The sequence below is a fragment of the Homo sapiens genome, chromosome 2 (assembly GCF_000001405.40).
Source record: "Homo sapiens chromosome 2, GRCh38.p14 Primary Assembly".
Taxonomy (NCBI): domain Eukaryota; kingdom Metazoa; phylum Chordata; class Mammalia; order Primates; family Hominidae; genus Homo; species Homo sapiens.
Genome location: NC_000002.12, coordinates 196,656,583 through 196,683,784, shown reverse-complemented (window position 1 = coordinate 196,683,784; position 27,202 = coordinate 196,656,583). Strand labels below are relative to the sequence as shown.

Here is a 27,202-nt window from a genome sequence, read left to right as displayed (position 1 = left end):
GATAGCCTAGATGAAATGGACAAATTCCTAGAAAGAACCAAACTACTGAAACTGACTCAAATAAAGGTAGAAAATCTGCATAGACCTATAAGAATAAAAATAATAAACCAAACAAAGAAACAAAACCTTCTACATACAAGAAAGCCCAGAACCAGATGGCTTCACTGGTAAATGCTACAAAATATTTAAAGAAGAATTAACCCCAATCCCTCACAAACTCTTCCCAACAATAGAAATGGAGGGAATACTTACCAAATGGTTTTAAGAGACCAATATTATCTTGATACCAAAACCAAAAAGATTACAAGAAAATAAAACTACAGAACAGTATCCCTTATGAATATAGATGCAAAAAATCTTAACAAAATACTAGCAAGCCTAATGCAACAACATATAAAAAGGACAACATGACCAAATAAAATTTATCCAAGGAATGCAAGCTTAGTTTTCCATTTCAAGTCAATCACTGTAATACACCATAGTAATAGAACAAAGAACAAAACCCACAAGATCATCTCAATAGACACAGCAAAAGCATTTAACAAAATTCAACATATTTTCATGACAAAAATTCCCAACAAACTGAGAATAGAGGGGAATTTTCTAATCCTGATGAACAGCATTGAAAAAACCCCACAGTTGACATCATACTTAATGGTGACAAACTAAAAGCTTTCCCCCGAAGATCAGAAACAAGACAGAGATGTCTGCTCTCACCAATTCTATTCAATACTGCACTGGAGATTCTATCAGGCAATTATATACGAAAATGAAATAAAAGGCAGCCAAATTGGAAAGGAAGAAGTGAAACTATCTGTATTACAAATAGACATAGCAAATAGAGAGCCCAGGAGTTCGAGACCAGCCAGGCAACAGAACAAAACTCCATCTCTACAAAAAATAACTATCTCTATTACAAATAGAGATAATTTATAGAGATATAGTTTATAGAGATAGTTATAGTGATGACACTATCTTATACAGTAGTCCTCACTGTCATTGATAGGTTCTTGGAGACTGCAACTTCAAGTGAAATGATAATGCATAACAAAATCCATTTTTTTCTTATCAACATCATAACACAACACTGAATGAAATGATGTTATTCAAGGACCTGCTGTATGTCGTTTCACTTGAAATTGAAACCTAAGAACCTACTGATGACATTAAGTGAGGACATACTTTATACAGAAAATATACAACAAATTGTATTATTGAGATTGTAATACTCTTCAAATTGATCTACAGATTCAATGTAAACCTTACCAAAATTCCAGCTGTTCTTTTTTACAGAAATGGAGAGTCTGGTCCTAAAATTCATATAGAAATGCAATGACCCAGAATGGCTAAAACAATCTTTAAAAAATAACAACAAAAAAAAAAGTTGGAAGATTCACATTTAGACGTCAAAACTTCCTACAAAACAATAGTAATCAAGACTGTGTGGTATTAGCATAACGACAGACATATAGATCAATGCAAGATAATTAAGAGTCTAGAAATAAACTTACATATCTATGATTAATTGATTTTTGACAGGGGAGTGAAAACTATTCCATAGAAAGAATGAATGATCTTTTCAACGAACAGTACTCGGACAATTGTATATCTGTAGCCAAAATAATGAAGTCAAACCCTTACCTCATAGCACATATAAAATAAACTCAAAGTGGATCAAAGACCTAAATTAATACATAAAACTATTAAAAAAATTTTAAAATATAAAATAGGTATAAATCTATATGATCTTGAGTTAGGCAAGAGTTTCTCAACTATAATACTCAAACACAAACAATCCAAGGAAACACAGATAAACCAAACTTAAAATTTTTAAAACTTTTATGCATCAAAGGACATTATCAATGTAAAAATACAACCCACAGAATGGGAGAAAATACCTGCAAATCATATCTGATAAGGTTGTAGTATCTAAAATATGTAAAAAACTCATACAAGTTGATAATTAAAAGATAATCCCTTTTAAAAATAGACAAAGGATCTGAATAGACATTTCTCCAAAGAAGATATATAAATGGCCAGTAAGCACACAAGAAGCTGCTTAACGTCATTAGTTACTATGGAAATACAAATCAAAACCACAATGAGGTACCACTTCACACCCATTAGGATGGCTATAATCAAACACAAAATAAGTGTTTGTGAGGATGTGGAGAAACTGGAACTTTTGTACATCGCTGGTGAGAATGTAAAATGGTTTAGTGCTGTGGAAAACTGGTGATTCCTCAGAGTTAAGCATAAAATTACCATGTGACCCAGAAATTCCACTGTTAGATATATATATCACAAAGAATTGAAAAGAGGTACTGAAATATATGTATATACAGGTTCACAGCAGCACTAGTCACAATAGCTAAAAGGTAAAAACAGTGTAAATGTTCTTTGACAGATGGACAGATAAACAAATTTGGTGTGTGTGTATGTGTGTGTGCGTGCACATACATACATACAATCACCATTACTCAGCCATAAAATGAAGTACTGATACATACTACAATGTTGAAGAACCCCAAAAGCATCATGCTAAGTAAAAGAAGCCACACACAAAAAATCAAATATTGTATGATTATATTTATATAAAATATCCAGAATAGGTAAATCCATAGAGACAGAATGTCAACTAGTTGTTGTCAGGGGCTGGGAGAAGGAGGGAATGGGGAGTGACTGCTTAACTAGTACAGGGTTTCCTTTTGGGGTGATGAAAATATTTTGAATCTAGACAGAGGCAGTGGTGGCACCACACTGCAAATGTACTGAATACCACTGAATTGTTCACTTTAAAATGGCTAATTTTATATTATGTGAATTTCACCTCAATTAAAAAACCACAGTGAGATATTTCACACCCACTAGGATGGGTATTTTAAAAATGTGAACAATAACAAGTGTTAGTAAGGATGTGGAGACACTGGAACTCTCAAACATTGCTGGTGGGATTGTAAAATGGTGTAGCCACTTTGGAAAAGAGTTTGGCAGTTTCTCAAAATGATAAACATGGAGTAATCACATGACCCAGTAGTTCCACTCCTAGGTTATACCTCGGACAACTGAAAACATATGTTTACACAAAAAAATTGTATACGAATGCTCACAGAATCATTAATACCCAAAAAGTTGAAACAACCTGAAAGCCCACCAATGGAGAAATTTAAAAAGGTACTAGGCTGGGCATGGTGGCTCACGCCTGTAATCCCAGCAATTTGGGAGGCTGAGATATCTGGGCAGATTGCTTGAGCCCAGGAGTTCGAGACTGGCCAGGCAACATAACAAAACTCCGTCTCTACAAAAAATAAAAAAATTAGCTGAGTGTGGTGGCATGCATCTGCAGTCCCAGCTACTCAGGAGGCTGAGGTGGGTGGGAGGATCACCTGAGCCTGGGGGGGTGGAGGCTGCAGTGAGCTGTGATTGTGTCACCGCCCTGCAGCCTGAGTGACAGAGTGAGACCCTGAAAAAAAAATGAAATGAACCCTGAACAATACCTTGCATGATACATAAAAATTAACTTGAAATGGATCACAGACTTACTATAAAACCTAAAACTATAAGACTTCTAGAGGACAACAAAAATGAAAATTGTGGTGATCCTAGGTTAGGCAAAAATTCAAAAAGTATGATCCACAAAATTTTTTAAATTGATCATTAGTCTTCATTAAAATTTAAAACTTCTGCTCTTTGAAAGAAAATGAAAAAAGTCATAAAATGGAAGAAGAGATCTATAAAACACATATCTGACAAAAGACTTGTATATATACAAACAGTAAAAATATTTTTAAGATTATAAGAATATGTTTTAAAACCTCTGAAAACTCCAGAAAAACAACTGAATTTAAAATGGTTAAAAGATTTGATGAGATACTTCAATTTGTAATGGCAAATAAGTGCATGAAAAGAAGCTCAATATTATTAGTCATTGGAGAAATGCAAATTACAACCACAGTGACACGCTGCTACACACAAATTCTAATAGATAAAACTAAAAAACTGACAACCAAGTGCTAGTGAGAATGTAGAGAAACTGGAACTCATGAATTACTAACAGAAATGTAAGATGGTACAGATTGTTTGAAAAACAGCTGAGCAGTTTGTTATTATGCTAAACATACATTTATCACAGGAACCAGAAATCCAACTCTTGATATTTACCCAACAGAAATACATATGTGCATATCTGAATATTTATATAGGCTTTATTAACTGCCAAAATCAGGAAACAAACCAAATGTCCTTCAGTTGGTGAATGGATAAAGAAACTGATACATCCAGGCAATGGAGCAGATTACTGACACACAACATGGATGAATCTCAAATGCCTTATGCTAAATGAAAAAAATTAAATTTAAAATGCTACATACTGTATGATTCTATTTATATGACACTCTGGATAATTTATAACTACAGGGACAAAAACACAGATCTGTGGTTGCCAGGGGAAGGAGGTGGAAGAAGGCATTGATTACAAAAGGGCACAAGGGAACTTCCTCAGGGTGACAAAAATGTTCTATATTTTGATTGTGGTGGTGGTTACATGATTTTATGTGTCAAAATTCATAGAACTATACACTAAAAAAGGGTGAATTTCACTGTATGTAAATTATAACAATTAACCTGACTTTTTAAAAAAGCATACTGTTAAAAGAACACATATTTTAAAAATCAATTTATACCACAAAATGAGATTCTCTATAAGCACTATCATTTGGCTTCATAGAAAGTCTCTAATGAACAAGTATCTTTCAGCACCATGAACTTACACTTAGTCTACATTAAGACGAATGAAATCAGACAAGCAAAATAATAATGCTATGTTTTTATCTCAAACATATTCACAGCATTTGCCTTGGCCATGTAACATTCACTAACTTTTTTATGAGACAGAGTCTCACTCTGTCACCCAGGCTGAAATGCAGTGGTGCAATCTTGGCAACCTCCACCTACGAGGTTCAAGCAATTCTCATGCCTCAGTCACCCGAGTAGCTGGGATTACAGGTGTGCGCCACCGCACCTGGTTAATTTTTTTTGTATTTTTAGTAGAGACAGGGTTTTGCCTTGTTGGCCAGGCTGGTCTCAAACTCCTGGCCTCAAGTGATCTGCCTGCCTCAGCCTCCCAACGTGCTGGGATTACAGGTGTGAGCCACCACGCCCACTCTCATTCACTAACATTTTTAAGCAAAAAGCATTACTGAATTTAATAGTAGTCACCAATTTTCCCAATTTTAGAAAGCATGGTTGAGGTCAAATTGATACCACCAAAGTCCTTGCCACAGGAAGTCAGCCTCATTTGAGGATTTTTAGGGTGGACTATTTTCATATCACTAGAACCAGAGAAAGCACCTGCTAGCTTGGTGGTAACTGCATTTGAGCTCAGGCTCAAACTCTAGCATTTCTCCTCTCTCCAATCCTTAAATTAAAAGTTTACATGTATATATGGTAATACAAATGCTACTTGGGCAAACCAGAAGCAAAGAAACAGTCAAGGTTTGATGACTATACCCAATACCTATTGCTGGATTTCTTGTCTAAGTAAGCTAATAACTCCTTGCTGCTCCAGATATATTCTCCAGATGACAGTGATACATAATCTTTACTCTCTTCAAAATTTGAAACGCAAACAGCAATGTTTTAAAGATTGGTTCTTGTTTAATTTTAATAAGGATTTCATTTGTTTCTCTGGACATTCTACTGTTTTAGAACCCAGAAAATGGTACCTCGAAGATACAGTGGCAGGTGCTGATAGGTACTTAGGCAGCCTTAGTTTTTTGTATTTTTTTTTTCTTTTTGACAGGGAGTCTTGCTCTGTCGCCCAGGATGGAGTGCAGTGGTGCAATCTCTGCTCACTGCAACCTCTGCCTCCTGGGTTCAGGCGATTCTCCTGCCTCAGCCTCCCGAGTAGCTGGGATTACAGGCGCCCACCACCATGCCCAGCTAATTTTTGTATTTTAGTAGAGATGGGGTTTCACTATGTAGGTCGAGCTGGTCTCGAACTCCTGACCTCAAATGATCCACCTGCCTTGGCCTCCCAAAGTGCTGGGATTACAGGCGCAAGCCACCTCACCCAGCCGTTAGTTTTTTATTTAAAAACAGCCTAGTCAGCAATCATCTCTTTGCCTCTCACAGGCCCATTAGCTAACTCTCAGGTGACTTCTTGGCTAGAATCCTCAGTTAACACTAGGGCCAGAGGCAGTGATGACTCACTGGCAAACATCAGATGCTCAACAAGAAAATGTTCCCCAGAAACAACCTTCTGCTGCAGTGACTGGTGTGCTCTGAGTGGCATCCAGCTTCATAGCTCTCCTTTCCCTGCAGCTTGGTATTCATCAGCCATCTCCTCATTAAGATAAGCTGATACGGTAGTCAGCAATACAGAAGGAAATATAGTGAAATATCAGTAAGTAAAATGAAGAATACCTTGTTTTTAGCTAATTCCTTTTCCAAATTGCATCTTTCTTGCACTATTTCTTTTTCTGTTTTATTAACCTGCCCAAGGAGGATGGGAAAAAAAAGGAATAGGTCAATTTTATAGCAGCTGACAGGCTCCACTATAGCACACATATCCTGCATGTCAATTAATACCTACACTGCAGAGATAGCACATCCTCTCAGAAAAGGGGCCAATCAGGGAGTCTCTGAGGCAGAGCAGACTTCACAAATAGCCCTGAAATTAGAAAGACACGTCTGCATGTCAGACTCTGCTGGTTCCTTCCTAAGTAGGAAGACAGGGCTGTTCCCCCTTAACCTTCGCTGTCCCACTCCTTCAGGGGAAATCAATTTTTAAAATCTGACCCCTTAACTAACACCAGGATGTGTGAATTACTAGTTAACATTCACTAACGCCGGATAAGTATATACTGTTCTATTTGGCACAGACTACTTCACATGCTAAAAGGCATAGGTTAGCCACCTAAAGATTCTTTACTGGGCAACTCAGACAAACTGCATCTGGGTTTTATTTCTTTTCTTGTCTTTTGCATTTAGAATGCAATTTTAAAACATCATCACACCACAATGAGAAGATAATGTAAATTTGCTTCTACCTACCTCCCTCTGAAATCTTTCTTTCTCCTCTAGCAGAGACTTCTTCTCTTGCATTGATGCTTCCAATTCACCTCGCAATCTTGCAATAGTTGATTCTAGCAGCTCTTTTTGCACAGCTGTTCTCTTTTCAGCATCCTGTGCTTTCTGGATACACTGGTTATGCTCAAGGATTAAATGATCCCTGCAGGAAGAGATCAAGAACATATGAAAGCTAAATTAGAGTTCTAATTTAACAGAAAGAGCAATTAAATGTTCTTATAGAACATATTTCCTGACTGAGAGTAGTTACCAAAATGTTCTAACAAAACTAGTTTCTTGAGGGCAGAGTCTTTATTTTAGCTCTGTGGCTGGCCCAAAAAATGCAGAATCAAATGTTTTCATTGACGATAAGACTGAGACGGACACATGATAAGAAACACACATGCAAGAACAAAAGATGTATAAGAAGTTGCCCATAATTTACTTACAGATGTGCCTGGAGTTGGGTTTTCTCATTCTGAACAGTCTGTAGTTCATTTGTGATACTGGCATGGGCTGCATCCAGCAATAAGTTTTGTTCTTGAAATGTCTGCGTCATCATTTTCTGCTCTACCTGAGTGTTAAAAGCAATATTAGAAGTTGAAGCTCCACAAAGTCTTTTGATAGGGTGTCATTTGGAGTAACTGATCAAAAACACTGAACTAACTTAAAAAAACAAGTTTCATTTACATAAATAAAACCTCTTTTTAAAACAATTTATTTCAATGCCCAGTTTCTCTTTGTCCTCCTCTGAGTTGACTAGTTCTATCATTTTATAGCTCTACTAGCCAATAGTCAAGATGCATTATTTACCCAGCCTGCTGAAAAATTATAAAACTCCTAATACCAACAAATTTTTAAATATAGAAAATTATATTACAAGTAATTTTGGTATTTTAAAATTTCAATATGGTACTTTATTTTTAAAAGTAAAACAATATAAATGTATATAAAGTGAAAAGATCCTTTCCTCTCTATCTGCACTTCCCCTCCAAATAATCCCACATTCTAAGGATTATCATGTTTAACAGTTTGCTGTGAATTCTTTTAAGACTATCTTAAATTGCACTCAGATAATGTTACAGCAGAAGCACTATAACTGTTTTACATAGTTTATTTTCTTTGGCTCACCATTTTGGAATTATCAAAACATGACATTTTTATGTACCATATACCCCTACACATAATCCATAAAGTTTTTGCAAATACAGTACATATCAACAATTAGTTTTATAAATACTTTTTAAAAAACTTCTATTTTAACAATATTTGATTGCAAAGCAAGTCTTCACACTGGTAAAATGGGATCCCAATTGTTATATTCCAAAATTTTGAAATATTTGTAATAAATATTTCACTATATATTCAGTCCACTGAATTATAAGTCCATGAAAGTAGGAATTTTGTCTTGTTCACCACTATAATCCTATCTAGATATAGCATTATACTTGCACAGAGTTAAAAACTAAGTATTTATTGAGTATATGTTATGTGCAAAGCATGCTTAGCACTATGAGAAATAAAGATATATAAGGTAATGTCCTTGCCTCTAGAGAGCTCACAGTGTAATCCAGGAAATGAACCAGCACATAAATTACTACTAGAGAATGCAGAATAGGGATGCAGCATAATGATTATATACATTGACTCTGGAGTCACCCTAGGTTAAAACACAACTCTACCTCTTACTAGTTAGGTGAATTTGGGCAAGTGAACTTCTCTAACCCTCATTTTCTTATCTGTAAAATGAGGATAATAAATATCCTTTTACATAATGGCTGCTACAATTAAAGGAGGTAATATGTGTAAAATCCTTAGCACAATGCTTAGTATATATAGTAAGTATGCTTACAAAAAGAGAAAGTGATCTATTACTATGGTGGTCTGTTTAGTGTCCCAGGAATAGAAGTTGAAAGGGAAAACTTATCCCTTCCTGTTGGGATGATCAAGCTGCCTGATGAAAGTGACTCTTAAAGAATAAACAGAATTTCAGATATTGAAGATGAAGTAAAAAGCATTCTCAGCAGAGAAAATGGCATAAGCAAAAGGAGAAATCGGCAAGGTGTTTGAGGAAAAGGTTAAGTACTTTAAGGTTAGTCATACGTGTTCTCCATGATTCTATAAACAATGGGACAAATAATTATTTTTCCTCAAGTGATGATATTTGAGAAGAAATCATGAAAAGCCCTGAGTGTAAGGCCAAATCACCCCTCTGATGAAAATTGAAAAGCACTAATAGAATTAAGATAATTCAGTAGATTTTTTGAAATTTATTGTTAAAATATTTTATTTCTCCAGTTGGCCATAAACATTTCCTGATCTATCAACCAGGCTGGCTTTCTGGTTGGCTTTCATGTTAAACGAATACCTGCAGAATGGCCTGATGGTCAGCAATGATTCTGGCTTTTTCCATAGTAACAGTCTGAAGCATGCAGCTCAACTCTGAACACTTTTTAGTCAATTGGTCATTCAAAACCTAAGAAAACACACACAGCAAGTCATTGGTCTCTCCAATAAAGAATTATTTTTACTTATGTATTATTATTTTTAATGATTGCATAGTATCTCACTGTATATATGAAACTAATCTATTTAACCTATCCTCAATTCACATGTCATTAGTTTAAAAAATACTTCCAAATATTAAAAGTCTACACCATAAATAATTCTAAATTAAGAGATTTGTTGATTTGGTAGAGCAACTGAAGCATATGGCATTTTACTGATCTTCTGTTCTTCACAAATTTGAACACTGGTTCATTAGAGCAAGACATCTGCAAAATGGAATTTACAATGTCAGTACCTAGCCAATATTATAGAAATCCATGAGCATTCAGAATTATTTAGCTGGTAACACAAAATACCTAAGCTCCTTCACCACCAGCTGACAATATTCATAAAAGCAAAATATAGATGATTTTACCATCACGAGATTAATCTTTCAAAATAAAACAAAAATTGTTTGAGCTACACAGATATATCATATATGTAGGTAGTTAATAATTCTCTTTTCATAATTTGAAATTTGTATTATTGAGAGAAACATTTATCTCAATTATCAGTTATTTTTGCAAGGTAGATTTGGCAAAGATCTTATGTTTTAAACAAGTTCTTCAAGAACAAGCAACTTTGAAAGAGCACTAGGAAGAAAACACACAAAAAATAAAATGGAGTAAAAGAAAAGATAAATAAAAGATTATCTGGCAAACATCACAAGTGGTATGGGCAGGCAGTACAGTAGTTAGAAACAAATTCAGGGGCTTAAAGTCACACCAGATGCAGATGTACAAGCTATTCATCAAAGAATACCTGGGGACGAAACAGAGAACCCTTGCTCCTTGAAAAGAAATAGCTACTTTTCTTTGGAGCCAGGTTACCTGAGTTCAAATTCCAACTCTGCCACCTATTATCTATGTTCCTGAACTTCTCTGTACATCAGCTTCCTTATCTTTAAAATGTGAATAAGTTTCCATTTCATAGGGCTATTGTGAGGATTACAATTTGTTACTAATATAAGGTGCCTGGAATTGTGCCTGGAATGTAGAAGGGGCTCAGTAAAAATGTTACCTACTATTAGTATAGAAAGAGTAATAGTAGTTGATGTTATTATATTTAAAAACACATTCATTTTATACTTCATTATTTTTATTATACACAGAGCCCAGCAACACTATGATCCTAATATTGAGACAATCAAATTGTACCAAGAGAAAAGTTATTTTAAATGATAAACACTTCTTTTGGCTCTGTGATAAGTAACTCCAATTTGACTGCATATCTGGTGACTTTTTGTTGCAGATGCACATATATATAAAACATCAGCTAAATTTGGGAATCACCATCCCAGAAATGATTACATCTAACTTCAAAATCCAGCAAGCATTTGTTAGGTTCCTACTGTATAATTATTTACTATAGAAGATACAAAGAAAGTATAAGACATAGCCCTTGCCATGGAATTATTCAGAAGTTCACTTTGGAGGGGGAAATACATATATTTAATGAGCAAATTAGAAAGCAAGCAAAGGCAAAGTGTAAACTAGTGCATAATTATAGTGGTACATCTTGTATACTTATATATCATAGGAATTTGGAGAGCGAAATGAGAAACGTAGTTAATTTGATAATGTTTCAAAGATGAAATAAATCTTATGGAAATGAAAAGTTGGGTGATGGAGATGGTATGAATTTATATAATCAAGACTAATTTTGTTTCTTGGTTATTTAATTGAACAAAATTAAATAACATCTAAAAACTAACAAAATCATGAGCATTTACTTGTGCTTTTTCTGATGCTTCATGAAGAGACATTATTTCGGACCTCAAATATGCATTTTCTTCATGTTCCTTGTTGAAAGATATCTGCAGGTTCTATAAGAAAAAAAATTACTCTCTTTTTCACATATAAGAGATACTATGTGCACCCCTATAAAAATAACTGTTTTGTATTTCGGCCAGTACAAGTTCAAGTTCCAATGACATACACTGGAACTTTATAAATGTCTTATAAAGAATGTATAAAAATCTTGGTATCTTCAACTCCTAAACTTCTGTTTATTTCAAAACTATTTATCAAAACTGTTTATTTAAAACAATAATGAGATACCACTACACACCTATTACAATGGCCAAAATCTAGAACACTGACAACACCAACTGGTGTCAAGGATGTGGAGCAACAGGGACTCTCATTCACTGCTGGTGGGAATGTAAAATGGTACAGCTACTTTGGAAGACAGTTTGGTGATTTCTTACAAAACTAAACATATTCTTACCATATGATCCAGTAATCATGCTCCTTGGGATTTACCCAAAGGAGCTGAATACCTATGCCCAGACAAAAAACCTGCACACAGATACTTATAGCAGCTTTAATCATAATTGCCAAAGGTTGGAGCAATCAAGATGTCCATGAGTAAGTTAATGGATAACTTGTGGTATATCCAGACAAAGGAATATTATTCAGCACTAAAAATAAATGAGCTTTCAGCCAGGCACGATGGCTCATCCCTGTAATCCCAGCACTTTGGGAGGCTGAGGCAGGCAGATCACCTGAGGTCAGGAGTTTGAGACCAGCTGGCTAACATGCTGAAACCCCATCTCTACTAAAAAATACAAAAATTAGCCAGGCGTGGTGGAGGGCACTTGTAATCCCAACTACTCGGGAGGCTGAGACAGGAGAATCGCTTGAACCCAGGAGGTGGAGGTTGCAGTGAGCTGATAGTGCCAATGCACTCCAGCCTGAGTGACAGAGTGAGACTCCGTCTCAAAAAAAAAAAAAAAAAAAAGAGAGAGAAAAGAAAGAAAAATGTGCTATCAAGCCATGAAAAGACATGGAGGAAACATAAATACTTATTACTAAGTGAAAGAAGCCAGTCTGAAAGGCTATAGACTATATGATTCCAACTATATGGCATTCTGGAAAAGGCAAATCTATGGAGACAGTAAAAAGATCAATGATTGCCAGGGATTAGAAGGGGAGGGAGGGATGAATAGGCAAAGCACAGAAGATTTTTAGAGCAATGAAACTACTCTGAATGATACTATAAAACATATCTACTATAATGGTAGATATATGTCATTATACATTTCTTTAAATCCATAGAATGCACAACACCAAGAGTGAACCCTAATGTAAACTATGGACTCTGGGTGATAATGTGTCAATATAGGTTCATCAACTGTAATATGGTACCACTCTGGTGGGGGATGTAAAATGGTGCATCCATTTTTTAAATGGACATCCATCAAACGGCTAATGAGGAAGGCTATGCATGAATAGGGGCAGAAGGTATTTGGGAAATCTCTTTATCTTCTGTTCAATTTTGTTGTGAACTTAAAACTGCTCTTAAAAATAAAGCCTATTTTTTGAAAACTGTTTATTAAATCCATTCTTATATTGAGATTCCAGTTAGAATTTGCCTAAAACCATAGCCTAAATATACCTAGTATCTTTATATCACAGTTCTACTCCCTAAGATTAAATATTTGTTATATTATTATACATACACATTTTTTCCTATTAGCAGTAAGATCTTATGACTTCAAAGGAACACATTCAAGGATCTTTTAAAGTTATAAGTGAAGATATTTTCAAAAACAAGGACCTGAGAGTGGAGCAGAAGAAAACACCTTTGTTCTGTGGTTATAGAAAAAAAAAAAAAAAGCTAGTTTTCTTTGAGATGAGAGAAGTGATACAGATGTGCATTGTAGGTGGGGCTTTCCCTAAAAGGTACTTAGCAGAATGGGGAAGGACAAAGTATAAATCTTCTTCCTACAGAGGAAGAACTACCCTTCTATTTTCCCAGGAGAAGCATCTCAAGAAAAACAGACAACATATAACACAGGATGAGATAGCATCCAAAAGAAGTAGAATCGACACATCAACAGACTTACAAATGTAGTAAGATATAAAATCATTATGTTTTTAATTTTAAAAATTATGGCAAAATATACATGACAAAATTTATCATTCAAATCACTGTAAGTGTGTAGTGTCATTAAACACATTCATACTGTTGTGCAACCACCAACACCAAAAAGTAGTTATATTTCTTACATTTCATTAAGTTTATTTTATAACAATTAGTTTACAATAGGCAAAAAACACAAATAAGTCTTATTTTTGCCAAATTACATTTTTCAAACTCTAATAACCTTCATGAAATGATTTCTTAGTTCCTAATACTATTATCCTAAATATACTACTCATTTACATGAAACTTTTTAAATAAAACTTTGATGAGAGTAAGAAGCACTGTAAGCCAACATGGAAGAGGAAATAGGACTTAGTGAAGAGAGGAAAGACCACCTCTGTACTCCACAACTTCAAAACTCACCTTATTTTCTTCAACCAACTTGGAAATGAGGTCATCTCTAGAAGCTAAAAACAAAAATTCCACATAACTATGATAATAGTAACTTGCTACATTAAAATCACATAGTGAGAAGCTTTAAATATTTTATGTCTATTTTTTGTAGAGATAAGGAGAACCCAACTATTTCTATAATATTTTTATAGACTAGAAACTGTTATGGAATTACCAAGAAACTAGTCCACAGTCATTTGCAATGGTAAATGAGGTCTCTGAAGGATTTTAAGCTGAGGAGGGGCATGATCAAAAGATTTTTGTTAGAAAGATCACTGTAACAAAGGTACAATAAAGGCAAGGAGATGAATTTAGTAGCTGTTAAAGTAACTGACATATGAGTAAATGACAATTCAATAAAGTAATGACGATGAGGACCGACTCTGGTCATGACAACAGAGACACAGAGGAAAAACAGATCTGTGAAACAGTAAACAGAGAGCACTTTTGGACTTGATGGCTTACTGGTGGGGTAAAACAACAGATGAGACAAGGAGAACATCTGGCATTCAGACTTGGGCAGCAGGGTAAACAGTGGACTCTTCAGCTAAATAGGGAATACACAGCATGGAGCAGGTTTCGGGGATAGAATGAGTGAAACACAAGTTTTCTATGTGTTTTGACATATCTGCAAGGCATCCAAATGTAGATATTTAGTTGGCAGTAAGATACTGGTCTAGAACTCAGGAGGATGATTTTGTACAGAAAAAAAGATTTGAAACCACTCAGAGCATGTACAGTGAAAAGAAAACCAAAGACAGAAAATTGTGGAACAGTTTGGTATTATATACTAGTAGCCAAAAAGTGTAAACTTATCTGAGAGTAATGTTTTGCCTTCACAGAAAAATTCATATCAGTCTTGTTTCACTTAAATATTCTAAAGCCAGAAATCATAAAACACATAAAAACTGATATTTTATATAGGATATACCTTAGAAAAACTGTACTTTTTGAACACATGAATCCACAATTCATCAGAATAAACTCGAATTTAAAATACATGAAGGGTAAAAAAGATGAACTATATGACTTCGGGAAAATTCTACTAACCAAAGTTAAGAATGAAAGGGGAGTGTTTATCTTACTTTGAAGAACAATTTATTCATCTTAAGTACTATAAATCTGTATATAAATGCTTATTGTTGATAAACAATTACATGTTTTAATTCATTGAAGCAAATATTTAAAGGCATTCCTTTTATTAATGTAGCTCAAACAACTACTTGTACCTTAAAGTAATAAAATTGCATATATGTCAAGTCTATAATTCAATATTATGCACCTAGCTGGCATTCAGACAGGCTTCCTTTTCCTCATGTCAGTTTGAATTATTGTTGTTTTAATCTTCATTTTTTAATGGTGTTGCACAAACTCTTTACAAAATTCAAAAATAAAGCATTAATCCAACAAGAAAGTAACATAAAAATTCAGAGGGCCAACTAATATAATAGATACCTGTTTTAGGCCCAGCTATTCTACTTGCTGTGGGTCTTTGGGTACAGTCAGTGTGGATCCTTTTATATCTTCTTTTTTTTTTTTTTTTTTTTTTTTAGATGGAGTTTTGCTCTGTCGCCCAGGCTGGAGTGCAATGGCACGATCTCGGCTCACTGCAACCTCAGCCTCCTGGGTTCAAGCGATTCTCTGTTTCAGCCTCCCAAGTAGCTGGGACTACAGGCGCGTGCCACCACACTTGGCTAATTTTTTGTATTTTCAGTAGAGATGGGGTTTCACCGTGTTAGCCAGGATGGTCTCAATCTCCTGACCTCATGATCCGCCTGCCTGGGCCTCCCCAAGTGCTGGGATTACAGGCTGAGCCACCACGCTCAACCCCTTTTGTATCTTCTATAGAATGTGTGTATTTTCTTATCTTTCTGACAGGTTGTTGCAGTGCTCAAATGAGACAATGTGGCAGCACCATAAAATATACATGTATTTTTGTAGGCACACAATTACAGAAAGACAGAAAATTATCCAGGGGCATTGTCGGTGAGAACTTCACACAGTAATTCACTACTATAAGAAAAGGGAATACTTTCTGCTAAAAGCAGTAAGTCAAAACATTGAATAGATTACTCTTGCTCTATATTTTTTATAATTTCCATTTCCTTTTTGGTATTCTCTGCCCCCATTACAGCAGCCATAGAGCACAGAAGGTGAACTGGAGAGTACACTCGGCTTGGAGTTAGAAGATCCAGGTCTAGGTCTTACTTTGCCATTTTTTCCTTTTGTAACTCTGGAAGGATAGCTTTGAGTACTGAATGAAATAGTTTATGTGAAAGTTCAGTGTAAACCATGATGTATTAATCACATGAAGCACTGCCCTGTAACTCTGTGACCTCTGTCATTGAGACTACCTGGAAACTGCTTTATAATGAAGTACTAGCAACAGTAGTATGATAAAAGGCTGATGGGTTAGAAGAAATATGACCGAACACCTTGGGATCAAGTCTAGGCTCCTTCCTTTCCTAGCTCTGTCATCTTTGAGGACTCATCTATAAAAAGAGGAGATTAATCTAAGCTCTCTTAAAGGTACCTTACAACTATCCATCTCTACAAATATAGGTTAACCAAAATAGATTGATAACATGAAGAATGGAGAATCTGACATGATGAACTGACAGAATCCATAAGTCATCAAGGATTCATGGCCTTACTACCTTACTAATATTCTATTATCAAATATTCAATCTATTGTTTTACTTTTTTTGCCCAATATTCAAGCCAGATGTCTAGAAACCAAATATTCCCAGGTCCACAAACAAGCTGGAAAAAAACAAATAAGGAATAGTTTACAATTAACAGGGTCAAATATATTATTAACAACAATCCTTCTGTATCTCAGTACTGCAGGTAGAAGGGAAATCTGCAATGTTTTACATACAGCACTGTGGGAAATACCAATAACACTGGCCACTTTAAGAATTTGGGATCTTAAGAGTTTTTCCATGAAATCTCCAAAAACTAACAAGAGGGTGATTTCTAGCATCTATTTTCATACTTAGATCAGATTTGAGCTGTGAAGTAGCAATCTCCAACTCTTCTTTTTTTTTTTGTTCCTGGGCCAGTAGTTCTTGAGCGCTCTGTATAGAATCACGTAGAGCAATGCAGTTTTGCTGCAAAATGTGCACCTGAAATTGTATAAGAAAAACTCTTTTTCTGTGAGATAAAGATTTCAAATAAGCTGCCTTATAGCACATGTATAAGGCAACATTCCAACCTTAATGTCACTGAGAAGCAACAAGAAGTTAGTCTATGTTACAGTTAAAATCTCAACAGAATGCGGTCTTGGAGCAGTGCCATCCAATAGAACCTTCTGTGCACTCTCCAATGCAATAATCCACTAGCCACAAGTGGCTACTGAGCACTTGAATATGGCTAGTGTGAAAAAATAAATCTTTTATTTAACTAATTTGAATAGCCATATGTGGCTAATGGCTACCATATTGGCATTGCAAGTTACAGCAACAAAGGATCATTTGCAATTCCTAAAGTAGAATCCTTGTTATAATTCAGTTATGAAGGGAAACTTTTTCCATTGGTTAAAATAATAAAGATTATGTCATCCAATTATATTAAAATATGAAAATATGAACTGACTTGGTTAGAATTTAAAGTATTCTAAATTATTTGTAGGTACTTCAAATAACAAATATGAAGGCAAAATATCATGTTAAAATAAATAATGATAATTGAAAACAGCAGTGTAAATATAGTCCTGATTGTTTTACTTATTGATATGCTTCCAGTGTTAGATCGCTTTAGACTTTATTTTCTATCCATGTCAGACATATACAGCATGAGACCAGGGCAATGCCTTCCAAAATCAATGTCTATAACAGAGATTGTATGGTATAAGGGAAAAATACTTTATCTTTCTCTTAGGAGCTAAGAGTTCACCTCTATAAAGCCTGAGGTAAATTAACCTCTCTAGTCCTTAGCTCTCTGATTCATAAATTAAGAGTGTTGAATAATGACATTAGGGTCTTTCTTATTTTGCACTAACTTAAAAAAAACTGTAGTAAGATTGTTAACATATTGCTAACAAAAAGTAAATATTTTAATAAATCTAGAGGCAATTAGTAAAATTTTAAGTTTATAGGTAAAATATCAGTTTTTGTTTGGTTTCATTTCCCAAACCACATAAGGAGAAGAAATCTTTCTACCTGTTTTCGTTCTACCTCCACTGTTGATCCCATTTCTTGTATTTTGAGGAGCATGGCTGATGCTGATTTCTCTAAAGATTCCCTAAGGTACTTCTCCTGAGCCAGTTGTCTCCTTAGCTACAAAGCAACACTGCAGTTAGGCAAGACCAATTGATCATACTAGTTTAACAAAGATCAAAGTTACCTGAGAAGTTTATCAGACATGCCATCTCACCCCCAAACAGTCTTAATTCATTTATGACTACTCAGAAACAAGCTTTTGTTTCTCCCTAGATTGCCTAGGATTACCTCCTAAGGAATGTAGATCAAACTTATTGCACCCATCCTCCTATAATTTAGGTCTGTTTTCTAAACTGGAGGTCAAAATCCATTAGTAAATTGAAAGAAGCACTCAGAAAAAGGAAAAAATAAAAGAGTAGAAAGAAAATATCAGAGTGCATGCAAGTAGTAAGGGTAAGTGCTGCTTTGGGAAATGTTTGTGTATATGTATGTGTGTTGCAGTGTAAAATATATGTCCAACAATGGATTGTCAAAAAAAGTTTGAAAAACACTAGTATCTTACCTTAGTGTGTATTTTCTGTATTTCTATATTTTCTGACTTTATTTTCAACTCTTATTTTCCTGTATTTTGATTTATCTACATATTTTTTATCCTGCAGTATTATACACATCGCTCTGAAAACTGTTTTCATTCTATTCTGGAATTTAGAGGTCTAAACAAATAATGAAGTAACCATTAAGTAGCAGACCAAACCGACACTCAAAGAATTTGGGTACTGTGCTATTGTGATATAATAAGAAATATATATTTCATTTCTGACCCTCGTTCCTGGCACACAGCTCATAAAAAACTTGGAATCACCTCATAAGAGTGTCTTTTGTGTGCTAATGACTGATTGGCTGGGGGGTGGGGGAAGGTAGGTAGCTGTGGATGGGGGCTGGTCCCCAGAAAGATCAAGGCATGACTAGAGGACTGGGACTTCTAGCCCCTCCTCTCAACCTCTAACGAGGGGAGAAGGGCTGAAAGGTAAGTTGATCATCAATGGCCAATGATTTAATCAATCATGCCTATGTAATGAGGCCGCCATAAAAATTCAAAAGAACTGGGTTCAGAGTGCTTCTGGACAGCTGAACACATGGAGGTGCTTGGAAGGTGGTTAGCCCCAGAAAGGGCCTGCGTCCCTTCCCACATGCCTTGCTCTATGCATCGCTTCCATCTGGCTGCTCAACTGTATCTTTTGTAATATCCTCTATAACAAATGGGTAAATGCAAGTGAAGCGTTTCTCTGAATTCTCTGAGCTGTTCCAGCAAATTATTTCAACTTGCAGAGGGGCATCATGGGAACATCGATTTTTTGCAAGTCAGTCAGAAGGACAACTTGGGGCTTGCAATTGGCATCTAAAGTGGGGGGCAATCTTGTGAGACTGAGTCCTCACCTGTCTTCAGGTAGATAGTGTCAGTGTCAGGACTGAATTGAATTACAGGACACTCAACTGGTGTCCACTGAAGAACAGAATTTCTTGGTGTGTCTTCAGGTGTCAGAAGTGTTCTGCTGCGAGGTATGTGAGAGTAGAAAAACACACTTTTTTTTTTTCTTCCCTGTTTTGGAGGCACACTGACCTTATTTCTGTCAATAAGTGACTATAAAAAGAATCACATAAAATATAAAGAAGGTTAAGAGTCTCTTTTATTATTAGGTAAAGAGATCCTTTCCATTAATAAGAGTCTCTTTTATTATTAGGTAAAGAGATCCTTTCCAATTGAAATGGGAATTGCAGAGAATGCTATTCCTTTTAAGAAGTGATGTGAAACTGAAAGAAATCCTATTTTAAAACCCCAGCGTAGATGACATTAAGAGTATACTATACCTGTTTTCTAAATTGTACACATTTTTTTCTCTATGGATAATATATTTTATAATTTTTAAAACATTTTTTAAAGGTTAAAAGAGGTAAAAAATGTGTTGGGATATGACTGTTACAAGATTGCTCATTTTGGAAATGCATAACTTTTTAAATCATATCCTTGATCTTTGACATGAGGGTTTTTCCAATTTTTCACTACTGTAAATACTGCTCTCCTGAACATACTTGTGAGTAGATCTTTCCTTACATTTCTGATTATTTCATTAAGATAAATTCCTATAAGATTCTTTTTTCAATTATTACCTTCATAATTTTCCAATTATTACCTTCTTATCAATAGTATTTGAATAAATCTCATCAGTACTATGTATTAAAATTTTCTTAAATCTCTTCTGATCCAATAAATGAAAACTAACATCTTAATAATTTTGGATTTCTTTGGTTACTGTGAGATTAAATATCTTCTAATATAGTTATCAACTCTTTATATATATTTATGTAATAAACTGTCATACTTATCTTTTGTCCATTGTTTTTTGGGCACTTTTAGACAATTTTACTGTTTTTGTTTTTGTTTTTGAGACTGGGTCTCACTGTGTCAGCCAGGCTGAGTGCAATGGTGCAACCATGGCTCACTGCAGTCTTGACCTCCCCCAACTCAAGTGATCCTCCCGCCTCAGCCTCCTGAGTACCTGGTACTAAAGGAGTGTGCCACCATGCCCAGCTAATTTAAAAAATTTGTTGTTGAGCCAGGGTCTCACTTTGTTACCAAGGCTGGTCTCAAACTCCTGGGCTCAGGCAATCCTCCTGCCTCAGCCTCCTAAAGTGCTGAGATTACAGGTATGAGCCACCATGCCTGGCAGTTTTAAGTTTTTGTGGGTGGGTTTTGGAGACAGGATCTCACTCTGTGGCCCAGGCTGGAGTGCAGTGGCATGATCGCTGCAGCCTCGACCTCCCAGGCTCAAGTGATCCTCCCACCTCAGCCTCCTAAGTAGCTGGGACCACAGGTGTACACCACTGTGCCTGGCTTTTTTTCTTTTTTCTTTTTTTTTCCAGAAATGGGGTTTTGCCATGTTGCCCAGGCTGTTAAATTCTTTAAAAGGGAAAACTATTAACACTTTGCCTATTTGTGTTATAATACCTTATTACAGGGGTCGCCAACCCCTGGGGCCACAGACTGGTACTACTCCATGGCTTGTTAGGAACCAGGCCACCCAGCAGCAGGTGGGCAGTGGGTGTACCAGCTCTACCACCTGGGCTCCGCCTCCTGTCAGATTAGTGGCAGCATTAGATTCTCATAGGACTGTGAACCCTATTGTGAACTGTGCATGCAAGGGATCTAGGTTGCACGCTTCTTATGAGAATCTAACTAATGCCTGATGATTTGAGGTGGAACAGTTTCATCCCAAAACCATTCCCCTCAACCCCCACAACCCCATGGAAAAACTGTCTTCCAAGAAACTGGTCCCTAGTGCCAAAAAGGTTAGGGACTGCTGCTTTATTAGTTTTGCTTTTTATATATAGAAGTATTCTTATGTGGTCAAATCTATTGACCATTTTATAATTTTATTCTTTTTAAGCTTAGAAATTGCTTACTTATCCAATGATAAGTTAAATATTACAATCTTATGTAAGAATGAGCCATTTTATTTGTGGTTATATTTTTTCAGATTTTAGTATCAGATTATAATTACTTTATCATATAGAGTAGCTTAATATACTTTCCTAAACTTTATATCAAATTAGGTACTATAATTTGTTCAAGATATAATTTATTCCTTGAAAGTTTCAAAATACCCAGGACATCAACTCATTTAAATTTTAGTTGCATTACTGTCAAATGTGATTCAATCTCTAGTTCATTCAGAATTAAATATTTCACTCTTTTAAATTGTTTTAATCACCCCCATTATGTAGGCTTGAAAGCATTCAGCTGGCCACCTTTTTAAAGAACGGCCACTTTTAAAAAGAGACATTTTCCTCTTTTATACGTGATATACCTACAATGTGCCGTACAAAAGTACATTACAAAGAGAATCATTTACTAATGAAGTATTTGTTTCTGAAGTACTATTAAGGGCAATAAGTTAATCTATTTAATGTTTATCACATCCAGATTTTGTATCTATTTTATATATATTTATTATCTCTTAGGAAGATAAATACCACACTTCTCCTATCTGTATATAACCCTCTGTCATAGGCTGAATTGTGTCTTCCAAAATTCTTATGTTGAAGCCCAACATCTGCTACCTCACAATGAGACTCTATTTGGAGACAGGGCCTTTCAACAGGTGATTAAATTAAAATGAAGCCATTGGGGTGGACCCTAATGCAATCTGACCATATCCTGATTAGAAGAGATTTGGACACACAGAGACACCAGGGATGGGTACACACAAATAAAAGAGCATGTGAGGACCCAGTTAGAAGGCGGACACCTGCAAGCCAAGGAGAAAGGCCTCAGAAGAAACCAAATCTGCTAACAACTTGATCTTGGACTTCAAGCCTCCAGAACTTCAACAAATAAATTTCTGTTTATACCACCAAGTCTTTAGGATTTTGTTATGGCAGCCCAGCAAACTAATACACCCTTTCTATTTCACATACCCTCAGAATGCCCATGTTTGACTAGCATAGTACTTCTGCAAGTCTTTGACAGAGCTTAATCAAAATTCAAGACTTTATCATAGAACCAAGAATTAAGAATAAGACTTCCCCAGTAAAAAATAATGTTAAATGGCAATCCAAAGGAGAAAGGATTGTCTTTTCAACAAATGGTGCTGGAAACACTGGACATCCACATGCCAAGAAGAAATTCATCTGGATACAGATCTCATACCTTTCATGAAAATTAGCTCAAAATAGATCAAAGACCTAAATGTAAAATGAAAACCTATAAAATCTCTTAGAAGATGATACAAGAGAAAATCTTAGTGACTTGGGTTTGTCGACTTTTTAGATACAATTCTAACAGTACAATCCATGAAAGAAAAAAATTGATATATTGGACTTCATTAAAAGTTCCTTCTCTGTGAAAGACAGCTAAGAGCATAAAAAGATAAGCTATAGAGCAGGGGAAAATAATTGCATAACACATCTTTGATAAAGGACTGGTATCCAAAATATACAAAGAAGTCTTAAAACATAACAATAAGAAATAACCCAGTTACAAAATGGGGTAAAAGTCTAACAGATAACTCACCAAAGGAGATATACAGATGGCAAATAAACACATGAGAAGATTCTCAGTGTCATTATATCATTAGGGATTGCAAATCAAAACAGGATGCCACTACATACCCATTGGAATGGCAAAAATTCAAAACACTGACAAGACCAAATGCCGGTGAGGATATGCAGCAACCATAACTCTTATTCCTTGCTGATGGGCATGCAAACGATACAGTCATTCTGCAAGACAGGTTGGCAGCTTCATACAAAGCTAAACATAGGCTTACCAGATGAACCAGCAATTGCACTCCTAGGTATTACATTTACCCAAATGAGTTGGAAACGTATGTCTATGTAAGAACCTGCACACAATGTTTATAGCAGCTTTATTCATAATTGCCAAAAATTGGAAGCAACCAATATGTCCTTCAATAGGTGAATGGATAAACAAATTGTGGTACATACAATAGAATATTGTTCAGCTATATAAAGAAATGAGTTACTGAGCCATGAAAAAACATGAAGGAACTTTAAGCGCATATGCATAAAAGAAGCCAGTACAAAAAAGACTACATACATACTCTATGATTCCAACAATAACAGGACTAGAGAGACAATAAAAAGATCAGTGGTTGTCAGGGGCTCAGGGGAAGACATGAGGAAGGATGGGTAGGTGGAACACAGGGCATTTTTAGGGCAGGGCAACTATTCTGTGTGATCCTGTAATGATAAATACATGGCATTATGCATTTGTCAAACCCATAGCACTTTACAGCATGATGAATAGTGAATCTTAACATATTTCACTAAATGATGGCTCAATATTGGCTCATCAAATGTTACAAAAGTATCATACTAATGCAAGATATTAATAATAGTGAAACTGCAGGAGTGGAGAGAGGGGTATACAGGACTCTGTGTTTTCTGCATAATTTTTCTGTAAACCTAAAACTGCCCTAAAAATAGTCTAGTACAATATCTTAGAAATAAACTGAATACATTCTAACTATGAGCATCAAGCTTTTATCAGTAATTACTGGCAAATAAAGTACTCAGTATAAGACAATTTTCCAAATACCTATGCTTACCACCTAAGCACTAAAATTTATAACCTTAAAAATAGTTTTGCATAAGAATTTTCCTAAAAAGTATGTCTACTTCTCTATTTTGTATTAACAGAATCTTTTAAATATAATTTGACCCATTAGATTTGAACTAACATCAATTATTAATACTATTATGTCAGGGAATATTGAGGTTTCAGGCCACTGCCAGAGTATATTGAGTTAGTAATTCTACTGATTCTTCCACTGTTTTCAGTTGCAAATTTTTAGTCCAACAGCTTTTAGCAGCCACCTACTTCATATTTCCCAATCTGCTATCTACTAAAACAAGCTGAAATGAAAGTTTAAGGTAAAATTAGATGAACAGACTTATTAATAGCTTTTTATTTTAAATACAACTTTAGATTAAAAGGACTTTGCAAGAAAGTGTCCACTTAACTATGGTGTACGGGCAGCCACGAGTGGTAACTATTCCTTCCTGGTTCACAAAGCATTTATTTTTTATTTCTAGTTTTATGCCAGTATTGAGGTAAAAGGAAGTCTTAATGTCATGTAAGGGCAGGCACTTTCACTTGAATTCAATGTGGCATATTTTTAAAGTCTTCCTACTACATAGTCACATATTTTCTTCTTCAAAGGTTTCTTTTCATTCTCTCTGCTTTCTTGATTTCCCCTCTGCAATTCCAACACCTCCTCCACCCTCCATCTTTTTGTCTTACCTCTTGAATTTTAAGGTTCATTTTACGTTTTGTGGTCTTCAGTTCCTCTTCAATAATGGCTGCATTCTTCTAAAAGTAGAAGGAGAAAAGATTCTAAATAATCTGAAATGACAGGAAGAAATTGTCTATAGGTATATCAGATCAAATCAGGTTTTTTTCTGGCAACCTATAAATGCTATTTTTAATATGGTTATAAATACTCCTTGTTATAAGTCTGAAGTAATTATTACCAGGAGTTACTTAACAGGAAAGTTATTTTATTACTTTGATACATGATTTCTATAATTTCCTCTTTTATATCATAAACAGTGATTAATCGCACCCACCTCCTATATAAAATTCAATAATTAGAGGTCAATCTGGTAATTGACAGACATTTTACTTACACGGTATATTCTTAATTTTTTAAAGAACTCTATTTTTCCAGCTTCAAATATTATTCGTGCTTACAAGTTGAGGATGAAAAACACAGCTTTCCCTACTTATTCTCTTTCTTATTAAGATAAATGGCACCACAATCTCAGATGTAAAACCTCAGAGCCATCTTTGCCTTCTTTACTGCCTTTAGTCCCTCCCAGTACCATATTCGAGCATACCTTTTTTTTACAGAACATTCCTCTTTCCTTTCAAAATGCCACAACCCTAGATCAGACCTAATTTGGCTCATGCCTCAAATAATGCAATGGATTCCTAATTGGTTTCCCTGCCTCCAATTTCTCTCCCTATTTTCAATACCCTATAATACTGCTAAAGTTGTTTTCCCGTTTTCATTATGTCACTTCCATATCAAAAATCTCAATCGCTCCCCACAGGATCAACCCCAACTACTAATTATTTCTGATTTTCAGATACTCTATAATGTCATTGCTAGCTAATATCCAACTTATTTCCCACAAACAAATCCTCACTCTTGTAAGGCTAGTTTATATATTTCTCCTAGCTGTACCGAGTAGAAAGATCCAGGTTCAAACCCGGGTAACAACAAGACAACAGGTATGTCTGATCTTGGACAACTGATTTATCCCAGGGACCCAGTACTATCATTGTTAAAAAATGGGGATAATAATATCCTACTTCACAAGATTTTGCAAAGATTAAACAAAATAACACATTGAACATCCATTACATTGCCTAGACATGAAGGGAGAACAACATTGTTAGTTTCTTTTCCAAGTAGTCCTTATTCTTTGCTGCCTCTGCGTGTGCTCCTTGAAATGTCTTCACCCCTACACCTTGCTTCTAAAGGTCCTATCCCTTCCCTGAAGCCTGCCTAATCTATTCTAGATAGAGCATCCTCACCCTCTCAAACATGTCTGAACACAAAGCCCTTACTCGGCAATATTCACTTTTTGTCCTATCCTATTCTGTAACATTTCCTATACTCTTATTTTTTCCTTATTTAATTTCTCATGCTGTAGCTTGTTCTCCCAACTAGCATATGAGTTCCTGAAGAGCACAGGCTCTATCTCATACCTCTGGACCCACACCATCACTTGTATGGGGTAAGGGTTGTACAAATAATCAATCACAGATAGCACACAGTGGTTTAGGTTATCAGTGCAAATGTCATAGGCCAAGAATCCTCAAATCAACATGCCAAATGTCAAATGCCAAGAATCCTCATATCAACATCACCTATTTTTAAAAGTCGCGTCATAGGTCTGTTACCTCCTCCAGCTAACACATAACAGTGTGTTTATACTTCAGAACTCTTAGACTCAAACCTTTGTCTGCGAGGCAATCTTCAGAGTGGCAGTCAACCTTTGCACCTCATCTTGTGCCTTGTCTTCTTCCTCTTTTACAGCTCTCAGTTGCTGGCGCAAATTCATAACTTCGAGATGCAACAGCTTCAGGTCCTTAGAATGCTCTTCCTGTATTGCATTCAGTCGATCTTTCAGAAAAGCTACCAGACCGCACAGGAGGGGCATCAAGCAGCAGAAAGAAGGTCAGTAAAGAAAATCAAGCACCTATACAGGACCACATTTCTGATGATTCTTATCTCTATACCTGTTTTCTGAGGATTCAAATCCTTTTCAGTTTGCAGCCGAAAGATGTTCATCTTCAAGGACTGCATGAGGCTTTCAAGACGGCACATTCGATTTACCAGAAACTCACAGTTCTTCCATAAAATATCTGTTTTTCCTGCACAAATTGCTTCATTTTGGATAGGACTAATGACTTTCTGGCTGTCCAGGTCTTCTAAACAGTCTGGAGCTTCCAAATAGCCTCTGGACAAAGATCCCAATATAACAATATTATGCAATGCAATTTCTACTAT

General features: G+C 35.5%; 1 protein-coding gene across 14 annotated transcripts in view; it reads right to left on the bottom strand.

Annotated features, from left to right (window-relative positions):
* Positions 1 to 27,202, bottom strand: part of CCDC150 (coiled-coil domain containing 150) — a 93,092-nt gene that overhangs the window by 49,022 nt on the left and 16,868 nt on the right. For 8 of the 14 annotated variants that reach the window (XM_006712438.4, XM_017003863.2, XM_047443975.1 and 5 more), the window contains 11 exons: positions 26,932 to 27,152; positions 26,649 to 26,827; positions 24,925 to 24,993; positions 18,102 to 18,218; positions 16,937 to 17,066; positions 13,909 to 13,952; positions 11,348 to 11,440; positions 9,437 to 9,544; positions 7,518 to 7,642; positions 7,054 to 7,231; positions 6,424 to 6,492 (listed from right to left, as the gene is read on the bottom strand). In XM_006712438.4, coding sequence (XP_006712501.1) covers positions 6,424 to 6,492; positions 7,054 to 7,231; positions 7,518 to 7,642; positions 9,437 to 9,544; positions 11,348 to 11,440; positions 13,909 to 13,952; positions 16,937 to 17,066; positions 18,102 to 18,218; positions 24,925 to 24,993; positions 26,649 to 26,827; positions 26,932 to 27,152 — 1,333 coding nt within the window. Of the gene's footprint in view, positions 1 to 6,423; positions 6,493 to 6,592; positions 6,671 to 7,053; positions 7,232 to 7,517; positions 7,643 to 9,436; positions 9,545 to 11,347; positions 11,441 to 13,908; positions 13,953 to 15,220; positions 15,446 to 16,936; positions 17,067 to 18,101; positions 18,219 to 24,924; positions 24,994 to 26,648; positions 26,828 to 26,931; positions 27,153 to 27,202 lie in introns of those variants that run through there. The other 6 variants (XM_017003861.2, XM_047443977.1, NM_001353339.2 and 3 more) reach the window with 6 other exon arrangements.